The sequence below is a fragment of the Homo sapiens genome, chromosome 11, assembly GCF_000001405.40.
Source record: "Homo sapiens chromosome 11, GRCh38.p14 Primary Assembly".
Taxonomy (NCBI): Eukaryota; Metazoa; Chordata; class Mammalia; order Primates; family Hominidae; genus Homo; species Homo sapiens.
In genome coordinates, this window is record NC_000011.10 from 4,264,767 (window position 1) to 4,291,423 (window position 26,657).

Here is a 26,657-nt window from a genome sequence, read left to right on the forward strand (position 1 = left end):
TAATGGTAAAGGGATCAATTCAACAAGAAGAGCTAACTATCCTAAATATATATGCACCCAATACAGGAGGACCCAGATTCATAAAGCAAGTCCTTAGAGACCTATAAAGAGACTTAGACTCCCACACAATAATAATGGGAGACTTTAACACCCCACTGTCAACATTAGACAGATCAATGAGACAGAAAGTTAACAAGGATATCCAGGAATTGAACTCAGCTCTGCACCAAGTGGACCTAATAGACATCTACAGAACTCTCCACCCCAAATCAACAGAATATACATTTTTCTCAGCACCACACTGCACTTATTCCAAAATTGACCACATACTTGGAAGTAAAGCACTCCTCAGCAAATGTAAAAGAACAGAAATTATAACAAACTGTCTCTCAGACCACAGTGCAATCAAACTAGAACTCAGGATTAAGAAACTCACTCAAAACCGCTCAACTACATGGAAACTGAACAACCTGCTCCTGAGTGACTACTGGGTACATAACGAAACGAAGGCAGAAATAAAGATGTTCTTCGAAACCAATGAGAACAAAGACACAACATACCAGAATCTCTGGGACACATTCAAAGCAGTGTGTAGAGGGAAATTTATAGCACTAAATGTCCACAAGAGAAAGCAGGAACGATCTAAAATTGACACGCTAACATCACAATGAAAAGAACTAGAGAAGCAAGAGCAAACACATTCAAAAGCTAGCAGAAGGCAAGAAATAACTAAGATCAGAGCAGAACTGAAGGAAACAGAGACACAAAAAAACCCTTCAAAAAATCAATGAATCCAGGAGCTGGTTTTTTGAAAAGATCAACACAATTGATAGACTGCTAGCAAGACTAATAAAGAAGAAAAGAGAGAAGAATCAAATAGATGCAATAAAAAATGATAAAGGGCATATCACCACTGATCTCACAGAAATACAAACTACCATCAGAGAATGCTGTAAACACCTCTATGCAAATAAACTAGAAAATCTAGAAGGAATGGATAAATTCCTCGACACATACACCCGCCCAAGACTAAACCAGGAAGAAGTTGAATCTCTGAATAGACCAATAACAGGCTCTGAAATTGAGGCAATAATTAATAGCTTACCAATCAAAAAAAAAATCCAGGACCAGATGGATTCACAGCCGAATTCTACGAGAGGTACAAAGAGGAGCTGGTACCATTCCTTCTGAAATTATTCCAATCAATAGAAAAAGAGGGAATCCTCCCTAACTCATTTGATGAGGCCAGCATCATCGTGCTACCAAAGCCTGGCAGAGACACGACAAAAAAAGAGAATTTTAGACCAACATCCCTGATGAACATCAACGTGAAAATCCTCAATAAAATACTGGCAAACTGAATCAAGCAGCATATCAAAAAGCTCAGCCGCCATGATCAAGTGGGCTTCATCCCTGCAATGCAAGGCTGGTTCAACATACGCAAATCAATAAACATAATCCAGCATAGAAACAGAACCAAAGACAAAAACCACATGATTATCTCAATAGATGCAGAAAAGGCCTTTGACAAAATTCAACAACTCTTCATGATAAAAACTCTCAATCAATTAGGTATTGATGGGACGTATCTCAAAATAATAAGAGCTATCTATGACAAGCCCACAGCGAATGTCATACTGAATGGGCAAAGACTGGAAGCATTCCCTTTGAAAACTGGCACAAGACAGGGATGCCCTCTCTCACCACTCCTATTCAACATAGTGTTGGAAGTTCTGGCCAGGGAAATCAGGCAGGAGAAGGAAGTAAAGGGTATTCAATTAGGAAAAGAGGAAGTCAAATTGTCCCTGTTTGCAGACGACATGATTGTATATCTAGAAAACCCCATTGTCTCAGCCCAAAATCTCCTCAAGCTGATAGGCAACTTCAGCAAAGTCTCAGGATACAAAATCAATGTGCAAAAATCACAAGCATTCTTATACACCAATAACAGACAAACAGAGAGCCAAATCATGAGTGAACTCCATTCACAATTTCTTCAAAGAGAATAAAATACCTAGGAATCCAACTTACAAGGGATGTGAAGGACCTCTTCAAGGAGAACTACAAACCACTGCTCAAGGAAATAAAAGAGGACACAAACAAATGGAAGAACATTCCATGATCATGGGTAGGAAGAATCAATATCGTGAAAATGGCCATACTGCCCAAGGTAATTTATACATTCAATGCCATCCCCATCAAGCTACCAATGACTTTCTTCACAGAATTGGAAAAAACTACTTTAAAGTTCATATGGAACCAAAAAAGAGCCCGCATCGCCAAGTCAAACCTAAGCCAAAAGAACAAAGCTGGAGGCATCACGCTACCTGACTTCAAACTATACTACAAGGCTACAGTAACCAAAACAGTATGGTACTGGTACCAAAACAGAGATCTAGACCAATGGAACAGAACAAAGCCCTCAGAAGTAATGCTGCATATCTACAACCATCTGATCTTTGACAAACCTGAGAAAAACAAGCAATGGGGAAAGGATTCCCTATTTAATCAATGGTGCTGGGAAAACTGGCTAGCCATATGTAGAAAGCTGAAACTAGATCCCTTCCTTACACCTTATACAAAAATTAATTCAAGATGGATTAAAGACTTAAATGTTAGACCTAAAACCATAGAAGAAAACCTAGGCAATACCATTCAGGACATAGGCATGGGCAAGGCCAACACCAAAAGCAATGGCAACAAAAGCCAAAATTGACAAATGGGATCTTATTAAACTAAAGAGCTTCTGCACAGCAAAAGAAACGACCATCAGAGTGAACAGGCAACCTACAGAATGGGAGAACATTTTTGCAATCTACTCATCTGACAAAGGGCTAATATCCACAATCTACAATGAACTCCAACAAATTTACAAGAAAAAAACAAACAACCCCATCAAAAAGTGGGCAAAGGATATGAACAGACACTTCTCAAAAGAAGACATTTATGCAGCCAACAGACACATGGAAAAATGCTCGTTGTCACTGGCCATCAGAGAAATGCAAATCAAAACCACAATGAGATACCATCTCACACCAGTTAGAATGGCGATCATTAGAAAGTCAGGAAACAACAGGCGCTAGAGAGGATGTGGAGAAATAGGAACACTTTTACACTGTTGGTGGGAATGTAAACTAGTGCAACCGTTGTGGAAGTCAGTGTGGCAATTCCTCAGGGATGTAGAACTAGAAATACCATTTGACCCAGCCATCCCATTACTGGGTATATACCCAAAGGATTATAAATCAGGCTGCTGTAAAGACACATGCACACGTATGTTTATTGCGGCACTATTCACAATAGCAAAGACTTGGAACCAACCCAAATGTCCAACAATGATAGACTGGATGAAGAAAATGTGGCACATATACACCATGGAATACTATGCAGCCATAAAAAAGGATGAGTTCATGTCCTTTGTAGGGACATGGATGAAGCTGGAAACCATCATTCTCAGCAAACTATCGCAAGGACAAAAAACCAAACACCGAATGTTCTCACTCAGAGGTAGGAATTGAACAATGAGAATACGTGGACACAGGAAGGGGAACATCACACACCGGGGCCTGTTTTGGAGTGTGGGGAGGGTGGAGAGGGGAGGGATAGCATTAGGAGATATACCTAATGTTAAATGACCAGTTACTGGGTGCAGCACACCAACACGGCACATGTACACATATGTAACAAACCTGCACGTTGTGCACATGTACCCTGAATCTTAAAGTATAATAAAAAAAGAAAAAGAAGACCTTGTCTTTTGCTAGGCATTCAGCATGGGTATTGATCAATCTAGTCAGGAGTTGAGATGGTTTAGGCTTTGTTGTTGTTATAATGATCCTGAATAAACCACATGTTTAATGGCCTCTAGTGTTACTCTCTTAGTCTATTTCTACTGTTATAACAAAATGCCTGAGACTGGACAATTTATAAATAATAGAAACTTATTCCTCACAGTTTTTGAGCCTGGAACGTGCAAAATCAAGGTGCTTGCAGGTTTGGCATCTGGTGAGGGCCTAGTCTGTTCTTCCAAGATGCCACCTTGAACACTGTATCTTCACAAGACAAAAGAAACAGAAGAGCAAAAAGGGCCTAGGCTAGTTCCCTCCAGCCCTTTAATAAGTTCACTAATTCCATGTAGGAAGGCTCTGCTCTCACGACTTAATCACTTCCTAAAAGCCTTGCCTCTTATTATTATCACATTGGTGGTTGAGTTTTAACATATGAATTTTGGGGAATATCTTCAGACCATAACTTTCCATCCTTAGCCCACCAAATTCATTTCCTTCTCACACACAAAATACATTCATTCCATCTTAATAGCCCCAAAAAGTTATAACTCATTCCAGTACCAATTCAAAATTCTAAGGTCTAGAGTCTCATCTAAATCACATATGAGTGAGACCCAAGGTACAATTCATCCTGAGGCAAATTTCTCTCCAGCTGTGAGCCTGTGAAATCAAATAAGTTATGTGTTTCCAAAATACAATGGTGAGACAAGCATAGACTAGACACTTTCATTCCAAAAGGGAGAAATAGCCAAGAAAAAAAAGGGGGGTAATGGGTCCCAAGTAAGCCCAAATCCAAACAAGGTAAATAACATTAAAACTTTAAGCTTGAGAATAATTTTTGACTCCATGCCCTGCCTTCCAGACACACTGGGGTGGCGGTTGGGTCCCAAGGCTTCAGGGGACCCGACCTCCATGTCTTTGCCGGATGCAGCCCATGCTGCAGCTTTCACAGGTTGGAGTTCAGTGCCTGTGGCTCTCTCGAGCTAGAGTTGCACGTTGGTGATTCTACAGGTCTGGAGTGTTGGGAGCAGCCCAGCCCTACAGTTCTCTTGGGCATGACCCAAGTGGAACTGTGAGGTGGCTCCACTATGCATTACCCTCTCTGTGTGACTCTGCCCCTGTGGCAGTTCTCTCTGTGGGCACTGCACTTCAGCCTGGGTGACAGAGACTGTCTCAAAAAAATTAAAAAGGCAAAAGATCTGGACAGACATCTCATCAAAGAAGATACACAGATGGCAAAGAAGCATATGAAAAGGTAGTCAACAACATGTCATTGGAGAATTACAAATTTACACAACATGAGATACCACTACATACCTATTAGAATGGTGAAAATCCAAAACACTGACAACAGTACATGCTGGGGAGGATGTGGAACAGCAGGAGCTCTCATTCACTGCTGATGGGAATGCAAAATGGTACAGCCACTTAAGAAGGCAGCTTGGCAGTTTCTTACAAAACTAAGCATACTCTTACCATACAATCCAGGAATCATGCTCCTGGGTATTTGCCCAAATGAGTTAAAAATGTATGTCCACACAAAAACCTGCAGACAGATATTTATAGCAGCTTTATTCATAATTGCCAAAATTGGCAATCAAGATGTCCTTCGGTCAGTGTATGCACAAGTAAACTGTAGAAAAAAAAAAGCAAAAATCAAATAATAACACCTAAATAAAAGATATTCAGGTCAGAGAGGAGGATGTAAACCTGTATTTATTAAGAGATGACATGGCTGCGTATGTAAAAAAAAAAAATCCTAAGAATCTACACGACACTTGGGATAAATAAATGGATTTAGCAAGGTCAGGGACACCAAGTTTAAAATACAAAAATAAATTATGCTTTATATAAAACCAGCAAATAATTTAAAATACCATTACAAACAATTTTATTTATCATAACACTAAAACAAAGCATAAAATATCTAAATTTTATGGCTGGGCACAATGACTCTCGTGTGTTATCCCAGCACTTCAGGAGGCCAAGGCAGGCAGATTGCTTGCACTCAGGAGTTCAAGACTAGCCTGGGCAACATGGTGAGCCCCATCTCTACTAAAAACACAAAACAACTTGGCTGGGCATGGTGGTACACGCCTGCAGTCCCAGCCACTCTGGAGGCTGAGGTGGGAGGATCACTTGAAAGCAGGAGGGGTGGCAGGGGCAGTGGTGGAGGTTGCAGTAAGCCAAGAGCTGAGATCGCGCCAGTGCACTCTAGCCTGGGTGACAGAGCAAGACCCTGTCTCAAAAAAAATCTAAATTTTAGCGGAGCTTAACATTTGAATGTGATCAGAGAAAGAGACATGGCCCAGCGAGCAAGTTGGTCAGTTGAAAACAAGGCAGTTCTGGAATGGCAAAAAACCTGAGGGTCCCACAGGGCACTCTTGGGAGTGCTAATTATTTACAAGAGCCAAAGGATCTTGTGGAACACACCCAAAGGATCTTGGAGGATGCTAAGCAGATGTGGGGCACTTTAACAGTCATGCCAATGGGTCATGCAGTACTAGCAGAATGTTTAGAAAAACCGTTCAGCTCCAAGAAAGACCATCCTCCTATTTATCCCTCAACTAAATTCACTTGGTGGGTCAAATTCAAAATCCAGCAGAAGGCCTCTAAAAGCTCTTCACGGTAAACAGTTTTCTAGCCTCTGCTCGCAGTTCAACCAAGACCAGAGATGGTCAGAGTCCCCACCAGCCAAATCATTAGCACCCAATTACTATTATTACCACTAAACATGTCCCTGGAACTGAGAAATATTCTGTGACAAACAAAAAGATATTTCTTAAACATAAAACTGTTTCTCCTTTACAAATATGTATATATACAGTTACTTGGACTAATTAAATAAAAAGATATGAAAAGGATACATAAAGAAAGAGATAAGTTTATCAGCAGGAAGAAGATTAGTGAATAAGATAACTGAAAATTAAACGTGGATTATTTGGTGGCCAAAGAAAAAGAGGGTACAGAATGTTTTTCATAGTTGACCTTGACTTACAGAAGTAGGGAAAATTGATTTTTAAGTGATATTTAGGTATTCCCATGTAAATATTTAAAATATTATTATTACAAATACAAAAGTTTAAATGGCTTTTTTGAAAATGTTATAAACTTAATTCAAGTTCCAAAGAAACACTTTTGATAAAAAGTGTTTCTTAAGTAATTAATATGATTTTCAGGCCGGGCATGGTGGCTCATGCCTGTAATCCCAGCATTTTGGAAAGCCAAGATGAGAGGATCACTTGAGGCCAGGAAATTAAGACCAGCCTGGGCAACATAGGGACACCCCATCTCTACAAAAAAAATTAAAATATGTAAAATTTTCAAAAGAAAATTAATCCCAGATCCCATAAAATGGAAACAGGAATAATTGTTGTAGCAATGCTAACACTCTTTTGTTAGGAATAAGTACATGAGCATACATAAGAAGGGATGGAGATTTAGAGAAAAAGGTGGACTAGGCAGGCTTGGAGAGCCATAATGACTTGGCCAACATGTACGGAATTGAGGAGATGTTGAAAAGATGGTTCTATATTTGGGCTCCCTGGAATAATAGCAGCCCCTCAGGCTTTCAGGCCAACACATAAAATCTCAGTTCCCTGTCACCCATCATTCTGACAGCCTTGTTGTCACTCACCCCATTCTAGCCCAAGAGAACTCCATTTAAAACAGGTAAGTGATTTTTTTTATTGCTGTGAGTAAAATTACAGTCTAGATAGGAAAGGCCCCATCTAGACTAGATGTTATGGGACCTAAAGTAGGTGGCTGAAAGCACTAGTACTATTGTCTGGACTTGGGTAGACAGAGTTGGAGAGACTAAAGCAGTGTGGGGTGGAGCCACTTGTACTGGCTCATCTGTGCATATTCCTTGCAAACTTCACATTCAGTGATGTCACGTTGATACCTTGAAAATGACCTTGGTGGGAGTACATACACTGCCAAAACTGGCAAACACTACAATGCAGGGCTTTAATTGATTGACTGATCTTTGTGTGTGTATTTTAGCTGGGTTACCAGCACACCACCAAACCACAGTCATAAATATGGGCTATGCCAGTAGAATGGAAAATGCTGTCTGGGATGGCAGAATGAGGAGACTCTGGGCATGGGGTCCCTTTTTACCTCTCAGTGTGCCAAAGAACTCTGACCCCGGAGCCCCTCCAAAGAAGGTTCTACATTGGCTCTGATCCTGACTACTGTAAATATCCAAGGTATTAAAGGGACTTATTTACGGCTACCCTGCCCTGATACTTCACACTCATCCAATATTTTGTCATTTGGTTGTTTTGTTAAACATTTTGAGGAGTTGCACTGTGCTGTGATGTACTGAGATCTGGAAAAACACAAAGAAAAACTATAATTCTCAGACCTCAGAAAGTCTTAAATCAGTTAGGGGAAACATTGCCAGGTGATCTAACATACTCCTATTCCTGAGATAGGTCCTCTGATAATCAGACTTTTTGTGAAATCAGAGAGAAGAAATCATTTATGAGGTGAACGTTCTCACAGGCACATTGCTGACACATTGGAGAGATGATTTTTTTTTTTTTTTGAGAGGGAGCCTCGCTCTGTCGCCCAGGCTGGAGTGCAGTGGCACAATCTTGGCTCACTGCAAGCTCCACCTCCTGGGTTCACGCCATTCTCCTGCCTCAGCCTCCCGAGTAGCTGGGACTACAGGCGCCCGCCACCACGCCCGGCTAATTTTTTGTATTATTAGTAGAGACGGGGTTACACCGTGTTAGCCAGGATGGTCTGGATCTCCTGACCTCCTGATCCGCCCGCCTCGGCCTCCCAAAGTGCTGGGATTACAGGCGTGAGCCACCACACCCGGCCGGAGAGATGATTTTTTAAAATACCCTGAATAAGGGTAATTATCTCACAAACACAAAGAAGGGCAATGGAAGTTAATTCTCTGAGATGCTGAAGATACCTGGACCGAGACAGGAGAACATTCATGAGGCATTTGAGAAGTTGTCTAGATTAGGTTGAGTAGATAAGCAACTACTCAGGTACCCACAATTTCACCCATAGGTCAGGCTCCAGTCATTGAGCTCTTTATCCTCTCTTCTTTGCCTCCCAGAAGCAAAATCCTTTTATTCTCAAAGTACCAAATGGCCATCCTTAGCTTAGCAGGTCCTCTTCAGGCTTCTCTTTTCTATTTAAGATTTACATTGCTTCATTTGATCTTTTCTTCTGGCTGTTACTTTGTCAGCATAGTGGTGCACACTCTTGGCCTTCAACCTCCAATGGCATTTTCATATCTGTTTTGATTTATTCCACCTCCTTCAGAAGGGCGAATTTCTTCGGGGTATTGTATATTTTCATAGTGCTTGTGTGATCACAGGCTGACCTGGTGGTAGTTGCTGTCCACAGCAGGCACATCCTAAGGAGCCTCTATTGGGCTCTTGTCGCATAATTTTATTTTTGAAACAATTTCAGCCATTACTTAGAGGCTACTGCAGGAACCAAAATGGGAGTAAATCTTCCTACTCTGGAAACTGAATTTAGAGATGGGGAGAATGGAACCTGAGAGGCAGGGAAAGAATGATTATGTGTACTTCCTATGTGCTAGATTCTCAGTCAGGCACTGAATAAATACAGACATGCTACAAGTTGTTTATCTATTATACTTCATTATTTCCTGGATCCCTGAACTTCTGCACCACGCTCATCTCCTGAGAATGGAGAAGGGCATTACATAATAGTAAAGGGTTCAATTCAACCTGAAGACCTAACTATCCTAAATATATATGCACTCAACACAGGAGCACCCAGATTCATAATGCAAGTTCTTAGAAACCTACAAAGAGACTTAGAATCCCACACAAAAACAGTGGGAGACTTCAACACTCCACTGACAGGATTAGATAGATCATCAAGGCAGAAAAAGAGCAAAGATATTCAGGACCTAAACTCAATATTGAACCAAATGGATCTAATAGACCTTTTTATTATTTATTTTAGAGACACAGTCTGCCTCTGTCACCCAGGCTGGAGTGCAGTGGCATGGTCTCAACTCACTGCAAAGTCCACCTCCCCAGGCTCAAGCAATTCTCATGCCTCAGCCTCCCAAGTAGCTGGGATTACTATTACAATTTTATGAGACGGCAATTAGAAAAAAGTGTCTAAAAAGGCTCCATAACTGGGGATCGATGAAACAATGGAGAAATACTGGACTAGAGTGAAGAGAAATAAGAAACACTGAGGCATCTGCTAGTAAAAATTTTGAACTCTAAGGAGAAAGAGAAAAATCTTACAAACATCCACTTAAAAAGAACATATTTCCAGCTTCATCCATGTCCCTATAAAGGACATGAACTCATCCTTTTTTATGGCTGCATAGTATTCCATGCTGTATATGAGCCACATTTTCTTCATCCAGTCTATCATTGATGGACATCTGGGTTGGTTCCAAGTCTTTGCTATTGTGAGTAGCAATAAACATACGTGTGCATGTGCCTTTACAGAAGCCTGATTTATAATCCTTTGGGTATATACCCAGTAATGGGATGGCTGGGTCAAATGGTATTTCTAGTTCCATCATGCAAACTATCGCAAGAACAAAAAACCAAACACCACAGGTTCTCACTCATAGGTGGGAATTGAACAATGAGAACACTTGGACACAGGAAGGGGAACATCACACACCGGGGCCTGTTGTGGGGCGGGTGGGGGGTGCAGAGGGAAAGCATCAGGAGATATACCTAATGTAAATGACGAGTTAACGGGTGCAGCACACCAACATGGCACATGTATACATGTGTAACAAACCTGCACGCTGTGCACATGCACCCTAGAACTCAACTATAATAAATATATATATATATTTTAAAAAAAGAGCATATTATCTACAGGAGAAGAATGATGCTGGAATTAGACTTTTTATCTCCAACGCTGGAACGGACAGTGGCATAGCAGTTAAGGACTACTGAGAGAAAGGACTACAGCCCAACAATCCTATACCCAGCCAAGATGTGGCCCCTCTGTCAGGGTGAAGGAAAGAAACACAGCAATTCAGTTTATCTCCTGTGTCCCCCACAGAGAAACCTACTTGAGAGAAGATTTTCCAAACATTATCACTTATGTGAACCTGAACAACAATTCATGGAAATGTAAAGGAAAGAACACAAATCTCTGGGCTTCACCACTAGAGTTTGTGATTCAGTGGTTTGCGGTCTAAATTTTCATTTTTACAAGTTCCCAATTAATGCTAATGCTGCTAGTCTGGGAACACACTTTGAGAAACTTTCAGGTGTTTACTAATTTTTTTGTTTGTTTGTTTGTTTTTTTGGAAACGGAGTTTCACTCTTCTCGCCCAGGCTGGAGTGCAATGGCATGATCTCTGCTCACTGCAACCTCCGCCTCCCGGATTCAAACAATTCTCCTGCCTCAGCCCTCCAGAGTAGCCAGAATTACAGGCATCCGCCACCATGCCCGGAACATCTTTTGTATTTCTTTAGTAGAGACAGGCTTTCACCATGTTGGCCAGACTGGTCTCGAACTCTGGACCTCAGGTGATCCACCCGCCTCAGCCTCCCAAAGTGCTGGGATTACAGGCATGAGCCACCGCGCCCAAAACGATGACTTCAAGTGAAATGCTGTATAATAAAATTAATTTTATCATAGGCTAATTGATATGAACAAGAGTCACAAAAACATCACCAAACGTCTAAATAAAGATTCAACACACTTAGAGTATTAAACTTAGAAATAAATGTGAGCTGCACATACAATTAAGAAAGCCTAATAAAACCTAGTAAGATTATTATTCACCCAATTTTTGGTGAGTCAGTGAGTGATGGCGGTCGTAGTTGTGGTAAGTTAAATCAAGGAATAAATGCTTGCAGAGAAAAAATTGTAAGGAGCACCTCCTACTACTACACAGTTAAAAAATCAATAATGACAGACACGGCAGGCTGGCTGATCTATCTTGTACTTTCATCGTTATTGTCTTGCATTTGTATGATTACCACGTTTTATGAATTTTTATTTTTCAATAATTTGTATTCATTCCTTCATTTTCCAACCTGCTGATTCCAGTTCAGAGTGGCAGGTGGCTGGAACCTATCGGCAGCTCAAGGTGTGAGGCAGGAATCAACGCTAGACAGGACCCCATCCGGGGCTCAGGGCACACCCCCATACTGGGACCATAGAGGTGTCAGTTCATCTAATGTGCACATCTTTGGGATGTGGGAGGAAACAAGAGTATCCAGAGAAAAACCACAAAGACATGGGGAGAATATGCAAACCCCACGCAGACATTGGCCTGCCAGAAGTCAATTTTTTAAGTTAATATTATAATAAAATGATATTATTTGAGGCTGGACACAGTGGCTCATGCCTGTAATCCCAGCACTTTGGGAGACCAAAGCGGGTGGATCACTTGAGCCCAGGAATTTGAGACCAGCCTGGGTAACATGGTGAAACCCCACCCTCTACAAAAAAAAAAAAAAAAAATTAGCCAGGCATGGTGGTACACACCTGTAGTTCCAGCTACTCAGGAGGCTGAGGTGGGAGGATTGATTGAGCCCAGGAGTTTGAGGCTGCAGTGAGCCATGATGGCACCACTGCACTCCAGCCAGGGTGACAGAGCAAAACTGTGTCTCAAAAAAGAAAAAAAAAAAAAAAGATGTTCTTTGACAACCTGCTGTATTTGCCATGTAAGAATCACCTTAAGAGGGACATAGAAAAATACAATATGTTCCTTTATAGATAGATTTTGTCCCTGCATCAAGGACAAAAGTGATGTCTCTGATCTGATTTATATTGAAATAAATGTGAGCTATACATACATTTAAGAAGGATTACTAAAAACAAGTAAAATTGGGCCGGGTGAGGTGGCTCATACCAGTAATCTCAGCACTTTGGGAGGCCAAAGCGGGCAGATCACTTGAGGTCGGAAGTACAAAACCAGCCTGACCAACATGGTGAAACCCCATCTCTACTAAAAATACAAACATTAACCGGGTGTGGTGCCGCGTGCCTGTAGTCTTCAGCTACTTGAGAGGCTCAGACAAGAGAATCCCTCGAACCTCGGAGGTAGAGGTTGCAGTGAGTCGATATTGTGCCACTGCACTCCAGCCTAGGTGACAGAGCGAGACTCCTCAAAAAAAAAAAAATTATTATTTACCCAATATTTGGTAAATCAGTGAGCGACAGCAAACAGAGCGCACCTATAAATCAATCCTGACTGGGTGGGGCCACCTTTGTGGAGAGTTACTGAATTAGGAATTTAATCATTTTGATTGTTCTTGTAATTACTTAGCAGTCCATTATCATAATCTAATCAATCTAAAAGTGACATGATTATCTTATTTTTTGAAACCCCATTCATAATTTTAAAATCTCCTTTATCTTGATAAATTATACAACTATGAAAAAAATTCTAAACATTGCATTTAAGTATAGAAAAGCTCAAACATAGCTGTACTTGGAGGCAGAGGATTGCATCAATTCCTGCATTCCCTGAAGAATCATTATGATTTCAGTAATATCAAATGCAGAAAATGTTGTGTTGAATAACTCTTAAGATACCATAAGCAGATATGTTGTTGAGAATGGGATTTTTTTTGTATTGGTGAAAAATTTTGTGGATTTCCGGACAAAACTATATACAATGGTCCTGTGATTTATGCAATTGCATTTCTCGAACACTATGAAAATTAAAACAAGCAACAACACTTATAATTTATAATTAAATAGGGTGCAGCCTTGCACATCGTGAACATGTTTATCATCCAATTTCATGTCTGGAGGTCACTGGAGAGTCCTATGACATGCTTGCAGGTAGCTTAATTGTCTTGGCCGTTGTCCATAGCAGCCCCCATTCACTAGGAGAACCACCAGAGCAAACTCCAGATTTTAAATGAATCCAGACTGGGTGGTGCCACCTTTGTGGAGAGTTACTGCTTTAGGTAATTTAATCATCTTGATTGTTCTTGTGATGAGTTAGGAGATGATTATCACAACCTAATCAATCCAGAAGTCATGAAGTCTCCACCCACTCATTAAGGTGACTCAATATAAACCTGCCTCCTGTGCCTCCACATTAGCTCGTTTGGAAGACCTGGGTATAGGTGGTCGTCTCCTCGGCTCCGAGTCCCTGCAGCAGCTGAGGTGCCTGTGTCTCTCTGGTTCCCAGTGGCCGCCATCATGCTCTCCTCCACACTCAGGGTGGCTGTGGTGTGCGTGAGCAATGTCAACAGGAGCATGGAGGCCCACAGCATCCTCAGGAGAAAAGGGCTAAGTGTCCGGTCTTTTGGAACTGAATCTCATGTGAGGCTACCAGGACCAAGACCCAATCGTCCTGTAGTTTACGATTTTGCAACAACATATAAGGAGATGTACAATGACCTCCTCAGGAAAGATAGAGAACGCTACACCCGCAACGGAATCTTACACATCTTGGGAAGAAATGAGAGAATCAAGCCCGGTCCAGAAAGATTTCAGGAGTGCACTGATTTCTTTGATGTCATCTTCACCTGTGAGGAGAGTGTCTATGACACAGTGGTGGAAGATCTGTGTTCCAGAGAACAGCAGACCTTTCAGCCTGTGCACGTGATCAACATGGACATCCAAGATACCCTGGAAGATGCCACCCTGGGAGCTTTCCTCATCTGTGAGATTTGCCAGTGCCTGGCAGCAGTCAGACGACATGGAAGACAATCTGGAAGAGCTGCTGTTGCAAATGGAGGAGAAGGCAGGAAAAAGCTTTCTTCACACCGTCTGCTTCTACTGAACATCTGGGCTGGCTTTGTCCCCTTCCTCAGTAAGAACTTAGGCATGGGACTTTAGTCCGGATTTATTGTGAGAAGCATCTGCAAAGACCTTCCACTGAGTACTGTTTGTGTGACTTTTGTACACATCACCTGGAAAGAGACTATTACCAAGAAAATATTTTATGGGAAATGAGAAGGACTAACATTTTTAAAAGCACTGAAAAATGGTTGGCATTGTGCTAGGTGCATTACATGGCATAACTAATTTCATGCTTATATCATTCTACAAGAAAGCTAGCCCACCATGACGCCATTTTCCAGATGAGCAAACCGAGCTGATAATGGACTGCTGGAAAAATGATTTGTTTAAGGGTATTCAGCAGATAAATAACATTGTATAGATAAGCACCTTTTAAATAAACTTCCTTTTCTCAATTTGAGTGGTTTTTTTTAATTTTTAAATTTTTTAAGTTAGTTGAGACCAGTGAAGTGTGGTATGTTAACTTAAATGTTCTTCTTTAATAAGAGTATAATATTACATGTTTGAACAGATCAATGTTTTTACATATAGATTATATCTTTTTTACTAATGCTCACTTTAATAGGTAAAATCCAAGTTGGGTAATGAACTACATATGATTGTAACATTTGGAATTATCTGCTCAAATCATAGGTCATCAAATTAAATGAAATAAAAAATGTAAATAAAAAGTATATTCTTATTTCTGTTTGGGGGATGCATTTCAAGCCACTAAGCGACATGCTTTTGTTTAAACCTTATGAATTACACTGAAAAAAAAGGGATCTTTCATAGTGAAAATTTTATTAGGTTCAAAATATTCATTGGTATGAACACTGAGAGCATCACGTGATAAACCTAATCATGTTTTCAAGGAGAAACAATTGAAACACTTTTTCGTAATCCTGGGTAGTGGCACTAAACCATGTTTACTAATAGGAGAAAAATAGATCAGAAGTAGTTGTTCATAGTTAAATTAATTGACATGTTATCTATTGAACTAGACTTATTACGGCAACCTAAAATAACAGCAGAGATTAGCTCTCAAAATGAGTTTATTTGAATGAAGGACTGGAATCAGGAATACACCGGGTATAACAAGTCACAGGTGTATCCTGAGAGGTTAGGGTAAGGGGAAACTTTTAAAGGCAAAAAGAAGTCCACAGAAGCTGCTTTGAAATAAATTTATTGGTCACAGAAGCTCATTGCAGGAGTCGGCATTAGCTTCTTGGTGGAGACAGCCATTGCTAGGCATGTGTTCTTGCGAGAACATTTTATCTGGAATGCTGCAGTCTTGAAGATATTGCAGTTATAGAAATATGTGTGGCCATGCAGAATGAGCAAAGTGTGTAAGACCTGCTGATGGTGCAAAGCATGTAAGATGTGCCATAATCTCTTGTGGGTTTTAGAGAGTCCTTGTGATAGTTCTTATCTCAAGTACACAAGCATGGGCTCCCCTCCTTCATGACCTTCCAGCTCCACTTCATCAGCCTTCTCCACTGTGAATTTACCCTTTTTCCCATTTTCCATGCTGGACTATTTGGAAAAAGTCCCTATGTGCAGCCCACATTTAAGGAGTGGGGACTTGTGCCCTACTTCCTTGTGGGTGGATTATCCATTTAAATTATATGGACTTACTCCTCACAGATGTGTCTATTCTCCCCCTCATTAATGAATTTATTCAATTATTTCTTCATAGCAGTATGGAATCTTGGACATTTATTTTTCTATGTGGGATTACAATTCGATCCTGCTTTGTTTTGTTGCTCAAACTTTCTGTTTTGGCCATCGCAAGCACTTTCAGTTGCCTCCTGGGTCCTTTCATGTGCCCCATCGTGGTGTTTGTTTGGTTTTACTTCATTTTTCATGGAAAAGGAAACACTCTGGCATTATGAGATGCCCCAGGTTCATCTTATATATTTCCAGCCTCAGAATCAACAATTTCTCCAAATAATCCTGTTTGTATTACTGGAGGATGATGAGAGTAATCAAAATCAAGTGTGCTTGATGCTACTAAGGTACCAGTGTTTTCTGTCCTGCCTCCTTCGGCTACATTTAAATTTTTTCCCTTTGTCTTAATTTTCAGTTTGATTGTGAGGCATCTACATACAACTTTCTTTGTTTTTAAGCCTCCTTGAAGTTCTGTGAGCTTTTTCAATCTGTAATATTTTAGCTTTTTCCCTAATTTGAATAATTTCACAATTATTGCCTCAAAAACAAAAATCAGTCCCATTCTTTCTCTCATTTCATTTTGAGACCCAAACTACACATCTGGTAGACCTTTTGATATTGTTCCTCAAGTACCTGAGGATCTCTTTCTTTTCTTTTTTGTTCTTTTTTTCTCACTTCTTCAGTTGGATAATTCTGCTGATAGACCTTATGGTTAATTTTTAGAAGTAGGATTACTGTGGTCAAAGAGATGTATAGGCCAGAAACAGTGGCTGATGCCTATAATCCCAGCACCTTGAGAGGCTGAGGCAGGAGAATCGCCTTGAGGCCAGGAGTTCAAGACCAGCCTGAGCAACACAGTGAAGCCCTATCTCTACAAAAAAATTAAAAATAGAAATTAGCGAAGTGTGGTGGCACACACCTGAGTCCTAGCTACTTATAAGGCTACTTGGAAGACAGAGTAAACATGTTTTTAGATTTATTAGATATTCAAGATGCCCTCCATAGAGCTTGTAACATTTTTCATTACGACGGGAAAACATGCCTTTTCCCTCACAAACTTGCCAGCAGGGTATAGTGTCAAGCTTTTGAACATTTATCAATCTGATAGTTTATCAGGTATGGTTGCGCATCTGTTAACATAGCTGCCAGCCATTCTCTCTGCTGAACACTCGTGCCATTCCCCCATCATGATGTGCAGTCTATTACCCATCCCCTTCTATCCAGGGACATTGCCTTACGACTCGCTTCAACCAACAGACTGAGCTTGAAGTATTACATGCTCTGCTTCATGGATTAGACTTGTGTAAAACCACAAACAAGCCACATGATGATTACACAATCCAGGTCAGACCTTGGGGTAGATCGGACATGGGGCCGGGAGCTGTGGCTCACACCAGTAATCCAAAATACAAAAATTAACCAAGTGTGGTGCTGTGCACCTGTACTCCCAGCTACTTGGGAGGCTGAGGCAGGAGAATTGCTTGAACATGGGAGGCGGATGTTGCAGTGAGTGAGCCAAGATCGCACCACTGCACTCCAGCCTGGGCAACAGAGCGAGACTCTGTCTCAAAAAAGAAGAAGAAGAAGGAGGCTCTCCCTCTCCCTCTCCCTCTCCACGGTCTCCCTCTCCCTCTCCCTGGTCTCCCTCTGATGCCAAGCTGAGGCTGGACTGTACTGCCGCCATCTCGGCTCACTGCAACCTCCCTGCCTGATTCTCCTGCCTCAGCCTGCCCAGTGCCTGGGATTGCAGGCTCGCGCCGCCACGCCTGACTGGTTTTTGTGTTTTTTGGTGGAGAAGGGGTTTCGCCGTGTTGGCCGGGCTGGTCTCCAGCTCCTGACCGCGAGTGATCTGCCCGCCTCGGCCTCCCAAGGTGCCGGGATTGCGGATGGAGTCTCGCTCACTCAGTGCTCAATGTTGCCCAGGCTGGAGTGCAGTGGCGTGATCTCGGCTCGCTACAACCTGCACCTCCCAGCCGCCTGCCTTGGCCTCCCAAAGTGCCGAGATTGCAGCCTCCGCCCGGCCGCCACCCCGTCTGGGAAGTGAGGAGCGTCTCTGCCTGGCCGCCCATCGTCTGGGATGTGAGGAGCCCCTCTGCACAGCCGCCCAATCTGAGATGTGAATAGCGCTTCTGCCCGGCCGCTACCCCGTCTGGAAACTGAGGAGTGTCTCTGCCCGGCCGCCCAGTCTGGGAAGTGAGGAGCGCCTCTTCCTGGCAGCCATCCGGTCTGGGAAGTGAGGAGCGTCTCTGCCCGGCCGCCCATCGTCTGAGATATGCGGAGCGCCTCTGCCAGGCCGTGACCTCGTGTGGGAACTGAGGAGTGTCTCTGCCCGACCGCCACCCCGTCTGGGAGGTGAGGAGTGTCTCTGCCCCGCCGCCCCTTCTGAGAAGTAAGGAGCCCCTCCGCCCAGCAGCCGCCCCTCCTGGGAGGGAGGTGGGTGGCAGCCCCTCCCGGCAGCCGCGCCGTCCGGGAAGTGGGGGGCGCCTCTGCCCGGCTGCCCCGTCTGGGAAGTGGGGGGCGCCTCTGCCAGGCCACCACCACGTCTTGGAGGTGTGCTCAACAGCTCATTGGGAATGGGCCATGATGACGATGGCGGTTTTGTCGAATAGAAAGGGGGGAAATGTGGGGAAAAGAAAGACAAATCAGATTGTTGCGGTGTCTGTGTAGAAAGAAGTAGACATAGGAAACTCCATTTTGTTCTGTACTAAGAAAAATTCTTCTGCCTTGGGATGATGTTAATCTATAACCTTACCCCCAACCCCGTGCTCTCTGAAACATGTGCTGTGTCCACTCAAGGTTAAATGGATTAAGGGCCGTGCAAGATGTGCTTTGTTAAACAGATGCTTGAAGGCAGCATGCTCATTAAGAGTCATCACCACTCCCTAATCTCAAGTACCCAGGGACACAAACACTGTGGAAGGCCACAGGGTCCTCTGCCTAGGAAAACCAGAGACCCTTGTTCACATGTTTATCTGCTGACCTTCCCTCCACTATTGTCCTATGACCCTGCCAAATCCCCCTCTCTGAGAAACACCCAAGAATGATCAATAAATACAAAAAAAAAAAAAAAAAAGAAGAAGAAGAAGGAGAATGAGAAGATTGGACGTGGGAAGTGAGGAGGGAGAGGAAGTAAAAGAGAGGAAATAAAACAATTACAAATAAAGCTATTAACATACTTATAATGTTAAGTTTTTTTATGAAACAAAGTATTTCCCTCATTTTTTGAGTGTTTTGTTAGTCTTCTTATGGTAATTTTAAAACGGAAGAAAAAACACACATACACAAATACAGAAAACCAAACAAAAATAAAGGAGTTGCTTAAGAAATTATTATAAGGCATACATCATGTAATCAAGAAATAGAAATTTGTCAGACACACCTAAAGCAATGTTCATTTGACTGGTCCTTATCACAATATCCTTCTTTCTGGCACAACTCACTTTTATAGTTCAGATTCATCCTCAAATCTTCCTGAAATTTGTATCCAAATGTCATTTTTCATCTTCAATAACCATGTGAACACCCATTTGCCTCTTTCTCTGGCTACTTCCTCAAGAAATCATTGTATTTTCATTACAGTAAATCTAAGTCTTTATTTCCCACTCTACATAGTATATAGTCAGATACGCGAGGTCACCATTACGACTTCCAATCAGAGCTCCCCTCCCTCTACCCAATAAACCAATACTAGAGGTGTTCAACAACCTAGAAAGTCTTCTTACCATATCTGCCCAACATATCATCGTGCCCCATACTTCCCACACCCTTGATTTTTAGTGATTATATAAGCTCTCACTTCTCATGCTTCCTCACAACCGACTACTGCCACAGTTCTTAGCAATTCCAGCATCCACACAGATTATCCACCCAGCACCCTCAACACTCTCACTTCTTCTCCAATTGCACTTGTCTACACCCCACCAGAGATACCCATGGTCATAGTCATCAAGAACCTCACCACTAGATCAAAATCTGAAACAGTCATGCCCCAACTATAAGACCACATCTTTCCATTCACTTTTGCTTCTTTATTTAAACTATAAGGGCTGTTTGACCATGCATTGTGCCACAACCCATGGATTCCAGCCCAATCCCTACTTATTCACCCTTTCTGGTCCAAAACCAGGTTTCATCGTTTATCACTATAATTACACCCTTTCAAACTCCTGAAGCATTTCTGCACCTTGCTCTTCTGTCACATTTGCATTGTCCATGTCCAAACAGACAGAAAAGAGAAACTCAACCACCTTGTCATGTTTTTCCAAATGGATTGGCTGGAAAAAGTAGTATCTATGGGACAGTCTCACTTTTATCTTCAGAAGAGCTCTCACAAAAAACTACACTCAGGTTTGTATTCCCATATTTTAAAACAATTATCTATGCCAAATATCCTCACCCCATCCCCAATCATGATCCTGACTGCCCACTGCCAGCTGATGGCCTTATCTTAAGCCACATTGACAGAATAGAGATAAACTGTCAGTGAGGAAACACCACACTGCCCTACCACCAAAACTTTCACTTATATATTTGGACCAAGCCACCCTTAAAATCAGAAATCTGAGAGTGATTCAAAAGTCCTCCTTTTCTCATCAAGAAGTCTCTCATGTCAGCTCTAACATCCCTCTCCAATGTGTCCATTCTTCTGCCTTTTGACAGACACTTCCCTCCCACAAGCTTCCAACCTCTCCTCTGCGAACTACTGTACCAGCTGGGTTCCCCACTTCCACTTGCCTCCTGCTACCTACACTGCAAGAGGAAAAAGAATATTTTCTTACAACTTTGAAAGTTTCTGATACCAAAAATGTGAAAGTTGTTACTACCAAGATGAAGTCCACTATCGTCAGATCCAGGTGAAGTGGAGCTGGAGGGTCATGAAGCAGGGGAGCACATGCCTGTATATCTGAGATAAGAGCTATCACGACTCCCTAAAACCCACAAGAGATCATGGCACATCCTACATGCTTTACACAATCAGCAGGTCTTACACACTTTGCTCATTCTGCATGTTCACACGTATTTCTATAACTGCATTATATTCAAGACTGCAGCATTCCACATAAAATGTTCTCGCAAGAACACACGCCTAGCAATGGCTGTCTCCACCAAGAAGCTAACGCCAACTCCTGCAGTCAGCTTCTGTGACCAATAAACTTTGTTTTAAAGTAGTTTCTGTGGACTTCTTTTTGCCTTTAAAAGTTTCCCCTTACCTCAACCTCTGAGGATGCACCTACAATTTGTTACACCTGGTGCATTCCTGTTTGCAATCCTTCGTTTAAATAAACTCATTATCTTTGGAAAGCTAATCTCTGCTGTTATTTTAGGTTGCCATAATAAGTCTAATTCAGTAGATAACATGTAAATTAATTCAACTCTGAACAACTACTTCTGATCTATTTTTTCTCCTACTAGTGAACATGTTTTAGTGCCACTACCAAGGATTATGGAAAGTGTTTCACTTGTTTCTCCGTGAAAACATCATTAGGTTTATCACCTGATGTTCTCAATGCTCAAATCAATAAACATTTTCAATTTAATACAATTTGAATCTCTCAATATGAGAGATTGCTTATTTCACTGTAATCTGTAAGCCTTAAATAAAAACATGTGGCTTAGTGGTGTGAAATCCATCCCCCAACATAAATAAGAATATACTTTTTTAAAATTTTTTATTTGATTTGGTGACCTATTATTTGAGGAGATAATTCCAAATTTTACGATAATCTGTGGTTTGTTATCCAACTTGGGTTTTTTTTTTTTCAGTGAAATTCATAAGGTTTAAACAAAAGCATGTCACTTAGTGGCTTGAAATGTATCCCCTAAACAGAAATAAGAATATGCTTTTTATTTACATTTTTTATTTCATTTAATTTGATGACCTATGATTTGAGCAGATAATTCCAAATTTTACAATCATATGTAGTTCATTATCCAACTTGGATTTTACCCATTAAAGTGAGCATTAGTAAAAAAGATATAATCTATATGTAAAAACATTTATCTGTTCAAACATGTAATATTATACTCTTATTAAAGAAGAACAACATTTAAGTTAACATACCACACTTCACTGGTCTCAACTAACTTAAAAAATTTAAAAATTAAAAAAAAACCACTCAAATTGAGAAAAGGAAGTTTATTTAAAAGGTGCTTATCTATACAATGTTATTTATCTGCTGAATACCCTTAAACAAATCATTTTTCCAGCAGTCCATTATCAGCTCGGTTTGCTCATCTGGAAAATGGCGTCATGGTGGGCTAGCTTTCTTGTAGAATGATATAAGCATGAAATTAGTTATGCCATGTAATGCACCTAGCACAATGCCAACCATTTTTCAGTGCTTTTAAAAATGTTAGTCCTTCTCATTTCCCATAAAATATTTTCTTGGTAATAGTCTCTTTCCAGGTGATGTGTACAAAAGTCACACAAACAGTACTCAGTGGAAGGTCTTTGCAGATGCTTCTCACAATAAATCCGGACTAAAGTCCCATGCCTAAGTTCTTACTGAGGAAGGGGACAAAGCCAGCCCAGATGTTCAGTAGAAGCAGACGGTGTGAAGAAAGCTTTTTCCTGCCTTCTCCTCCATTTGCAACAGCAGCTCTTCCAGATTGTCTTCCATGTCGTCTGACTGCTGCAGGCACTGGCAAATCTCACAGATGAGGAAAGCTCCCAGGGTGGCATCTTCCAGGGTATCTTGGATGTCCATGTTGATCACGTGCACAGGCTGAAAGGTCTGCTGTTCTCTGGAACACAGATCTTCCACCACTGTGTCATAGACACTCTCCTCACAGGTGAAGATGACATCAAAGAAATCAGTGCACTCCTGAAATCTTTCTGGACCGGGCTTGATTCTCTCATTTCTTCCCAAGATGTGTAAGATTCCGTTGCGGGTGTAGCGTTCTCTATCTTTCCTGAGGAGGTCATTGTACATCTCCTTATATGTTGTTGCAAAATCGTAAACTACAGGACGATTGGGTCTTGGTCCTGGTAGCCTCACATGAGATTCAGTTCCAAAAGACCGGACACTTAGCCCTTTTCTCCTGAGGATGCTGTGGGCCTCCATGCTCCTGTTGACATTGCTCACGCACACCACAGCCACCCTGAGTGTGGAGGAGAGCATGATGGCGGCCACTGGGAACCAGAGAGACACAGGCACCTCAGCTGCTGCAGGGACTCGGAGCCGAGGAGACGACCACCTATACCCAGGTCTTCCAAACGAGCTAATGTGGAGGCACAGGAGGCAGGTTTATATTGAGTCACCTTAATGAGTGGGTGGAGACTTCATGACTTCTGGATTGATTAGGTTGTGATAATCATCTCCTAACTCATCACAAGAACAATCAAGATGATTAAATTACCTAAAGCAGTAACTCTCCACAAAGGTGGCACCACCCAGTCTGGATTCATTTAAAATCTGGAGTTTGCTCTGGTGGTTCTCCTAGTGAATGGGGGCTGCTATGGACAATGGCCAAGACAATTAAGCTACCTGCAAGCATGTCACAGGACTCTCCAGTGACCTCCAGACATGAAATTGGATGATAAACATGTTCACGATGTGCAAGGCTGCACCATATTTAATTATAAATTACAAGTGTTGTTGCTTGTTTTAATTTTCATAATGTTCGAGAAATGCAATTGCATAAATCACAGGACCATTGTATATAGTTTTGTCCAGAAATTCACAAAATTTTTCACCAATACAAAAAAAATCCCATTCTCAACAACATATCTGCTTATGGTATCTTAAGAGTTATTCAACACAACATTTTCTGCATTTGATATTACTGAAATCATAACGATTCTTCAGGGAATGCAGGGATTGATGCAATCCTCTGCCTCCAAGTACAGCTGTGTTTGTGCTTTTCTATACTTAAATGCAATGTTTAGAATTTTTTTCATAGTTGTATAATTTATCAAGATAAAGGAGATTTTAAAATTATGAATGGGGTTTCAAAAAATAAGATAATCATGTCACTTTTAGATTGATTAGATTATGATAATGGACCGCTAAGTAATTACAAGAACAATCAAAATGATTAAATTCCTAATTCAGTAACTCTCCACAAAGGTGGCCCCACCCAGTCAGGATTGATTTATAGGTGCGCTCTGTTTGCTGTCGCTCACTGATTTACCAAATATTGGGTAAATAATAATTTTTTTTTTTGAGGAGTCTCGCTCTGTCACCTAGGCTGGAGTGCAGTGGCACAATATCGACTCACTGCAACCTCTACCTCCGAGGTTCGAGGGATTCTCTTGTCTGAGCCTCTCAAGTAGCTGAAGACTACAGGCACGCGGCACCACACCCGGTTAATGTTTGTATTTTTAGTAGAGATGGGGTTTCACCATGTTGGTCAGGCTGGTTTTGTACTTCCGACCTCAAGTGATCTGCCCGCTTTGGCCTCCCAAAGTGCTGAGATTACTGCTATGAGCCACCTCACCCGGCCCAATTTTACTTGTTTTTAGTAATCCTTCTTAAATGTATGTATAGCTCACATTTATTTCAATATAAATCAGATCAGAGACATCACTTTTGTCCTTGATGCAGGGACAAAATCTATCTATAAAGGAACATATTGTATTTTTCTATGTCCCTCTTAAGGTGATTCTTACATGGCAAATACAGCAGGTTGTCAAAGAACATCTTTTTTTTTTTTTTTCTTTTTTGAGACACAGTTTTGCTCTGTCACCCTGGCTGGAGTGCAGTGGTGCCATCATGGCTCACTGCAGCCTCAAACTCCTGGGCTCAATCAATCCTCCCACCTCAGCCTCCTGAGTAGCTGGAACTACAGGTGTGTACCACCACGCCTGGCTAATTTTTTTTTTTTTTTTTTTTGTAGAGGGTGGGGTTTCACCATGTTACCCAGGCTGGTCTCAAATTCCTGGGCTCAAGTGATCCACCCGCTTTGGTCTCCCAAAGTGCTGGGATTACAGGCATGAGCCACTGTGTCCAGCCTCAAATAATATCATTTTATTATAATATTAACTTAAAAAATTGACTTCTGGCAGGCCAATGTCTGCGTGGGGTTTGCATATTCTCCCCATGTCTTTGTGGTTTTTCTCTGGATACTCTTGTTTCCTCCCACATCCCAAAGATGTGCACATTAGATGAAGTGACATCTCTATGGTCCCAGTATGGGGGTGTGCCCTGAGCCCCGGATGGGGTCCTGTCCAGCGTTGGTTCCTGCCTCACACCTTGAGCTGCCGATAGGTTCCAGCCACCTGCCACTCTGAACTGGAATCAGCAGGTTGGAAAATGAAGGAATGAATACAAATTATTGAAAAATAAAAATTCATAAAACGTGGTAATCATACAAATGCAAGACAATAACGATGAAAGTACAAGATAGATCAGCCAGCCTGCCGTGTCTGTCATTATTGATTTTTTAACTGTGTAGTAGTAGGAGGTGCTCCTTACAATTTTTTCTCTGCAAGCATTTATTCCTTGATTTAACTTACCACAACTACGACCGCCATCACTCACTGACTCACCAAAAATTGGGTGAATAATAATCTTACTAGGTTTTATTAGGCTTTCTTAATTGTATGTACAGCTCACATTTATTTCTAAGTTTAATACTCTAAGTGTGTTGAATCTTTATTTAGACGTTTGGTGATGTTTTTGTGACTCTTGTTCATATCAACTAGCCTATGATAAAATTAATTTTATTATACAGCATTTCACTTGAAGTCATCGTTTTGGGCGCGGTGGCTCATACCTGTAATCCCAGCACTTTGGGAGGCTGAGGCGGGTGGATCACCTGAGGTCCAGAGTTCGAGACCAGTCTGGCCAACATGGTGAAAGCCTGTCTCTACTAAAGAAATACAAAAAATGTTCCGGGCGTGGTGGCGGGTGCCTGTAATTCTGGCTACTCTGGAGGGCTGAGGCAGGAGAATTGTTTGAATCCGGGAGGCGGAGGTTGCAGTGAGCAGAGATCATGCCATTGCACTCCAGCCTGGGCGAGAAGAGTGAAACTCCATCTCCAAACAAACAAACAAACAAACAAATTAGTAAACACCTGAAAGTTTCTCAAAGTGTGTTCCCAGACTAGCAGCATTAGCATTAATTGGGAACTTGTAAAAAATGAAAATTTAGACCGCAAACCACTGAACCACAACCTCTAGTGGTGAAGCCCAGAGATTTGTGTTCTTTCCTTTACATTTCCATGAATTGTTGTTCAGGTTCACATAAGTGATAATGTTTGGAAAGTCTTCTCTCAAGTAGGTTTCTCTGTGGGGGACACAGGAGATAAACTGAATTGCTGTGTATCTTTCCTTCACCCTGACAGAGGGGCCACATCTTGGCTGGGTACAGGATTGTTGGGCTGTAGTCCTTTCTCTCAGTAGTCCTTAACTGCTATGCCACTGTCCGTTCCAGCGTTGGAGATAAAAAGTCTAATTCCAGCATCATTCTTCTCCTGTAGATAATATGCTCTTTTTTTAAAATATATATATATATTTAT

General features: G+C 41.6%; 1 protein-coding gene and 1 pseudogene across 1 annotated transcript; one reads left to right on the plus strand and one right to left on the minus strand.

The window, feature by feature from the left end:
- Nucleotides 13,931-14,526, plus strand: SSU72P6 (SSU72 pseudogene 6; annotated as a pseudogene).
- SSU72L4 (SSU72 like 4) lies at nt 22,318-23,419 on the minus strand. Its single transcript, NM_001414001.1, has one exon. The coding sequence runs from the start codon at nt 23,315-23,317 to the stop codon at nt 22,733-22,735; it is 585 nt and encodes a 194-aa protein (NP_001400930.1). The 5' UTR covers nt 23,318-23,419; the 3' UTR covers nt 22,318-22,732.
- Between the last annotated feature and the right edge of the window lie 3,238 nt (nt 23,420-26,657).

Bases quoted from the DNA above. Each gene is read 5' to 3' on its own strand.
- SSU72L4 (NM_001414001.1), bottom strand. From the start codon at position 23,317: ATGCTCTCCTCCACACTCAGGGTGGCTGTGGTGTGCGTGAGCAATGTC.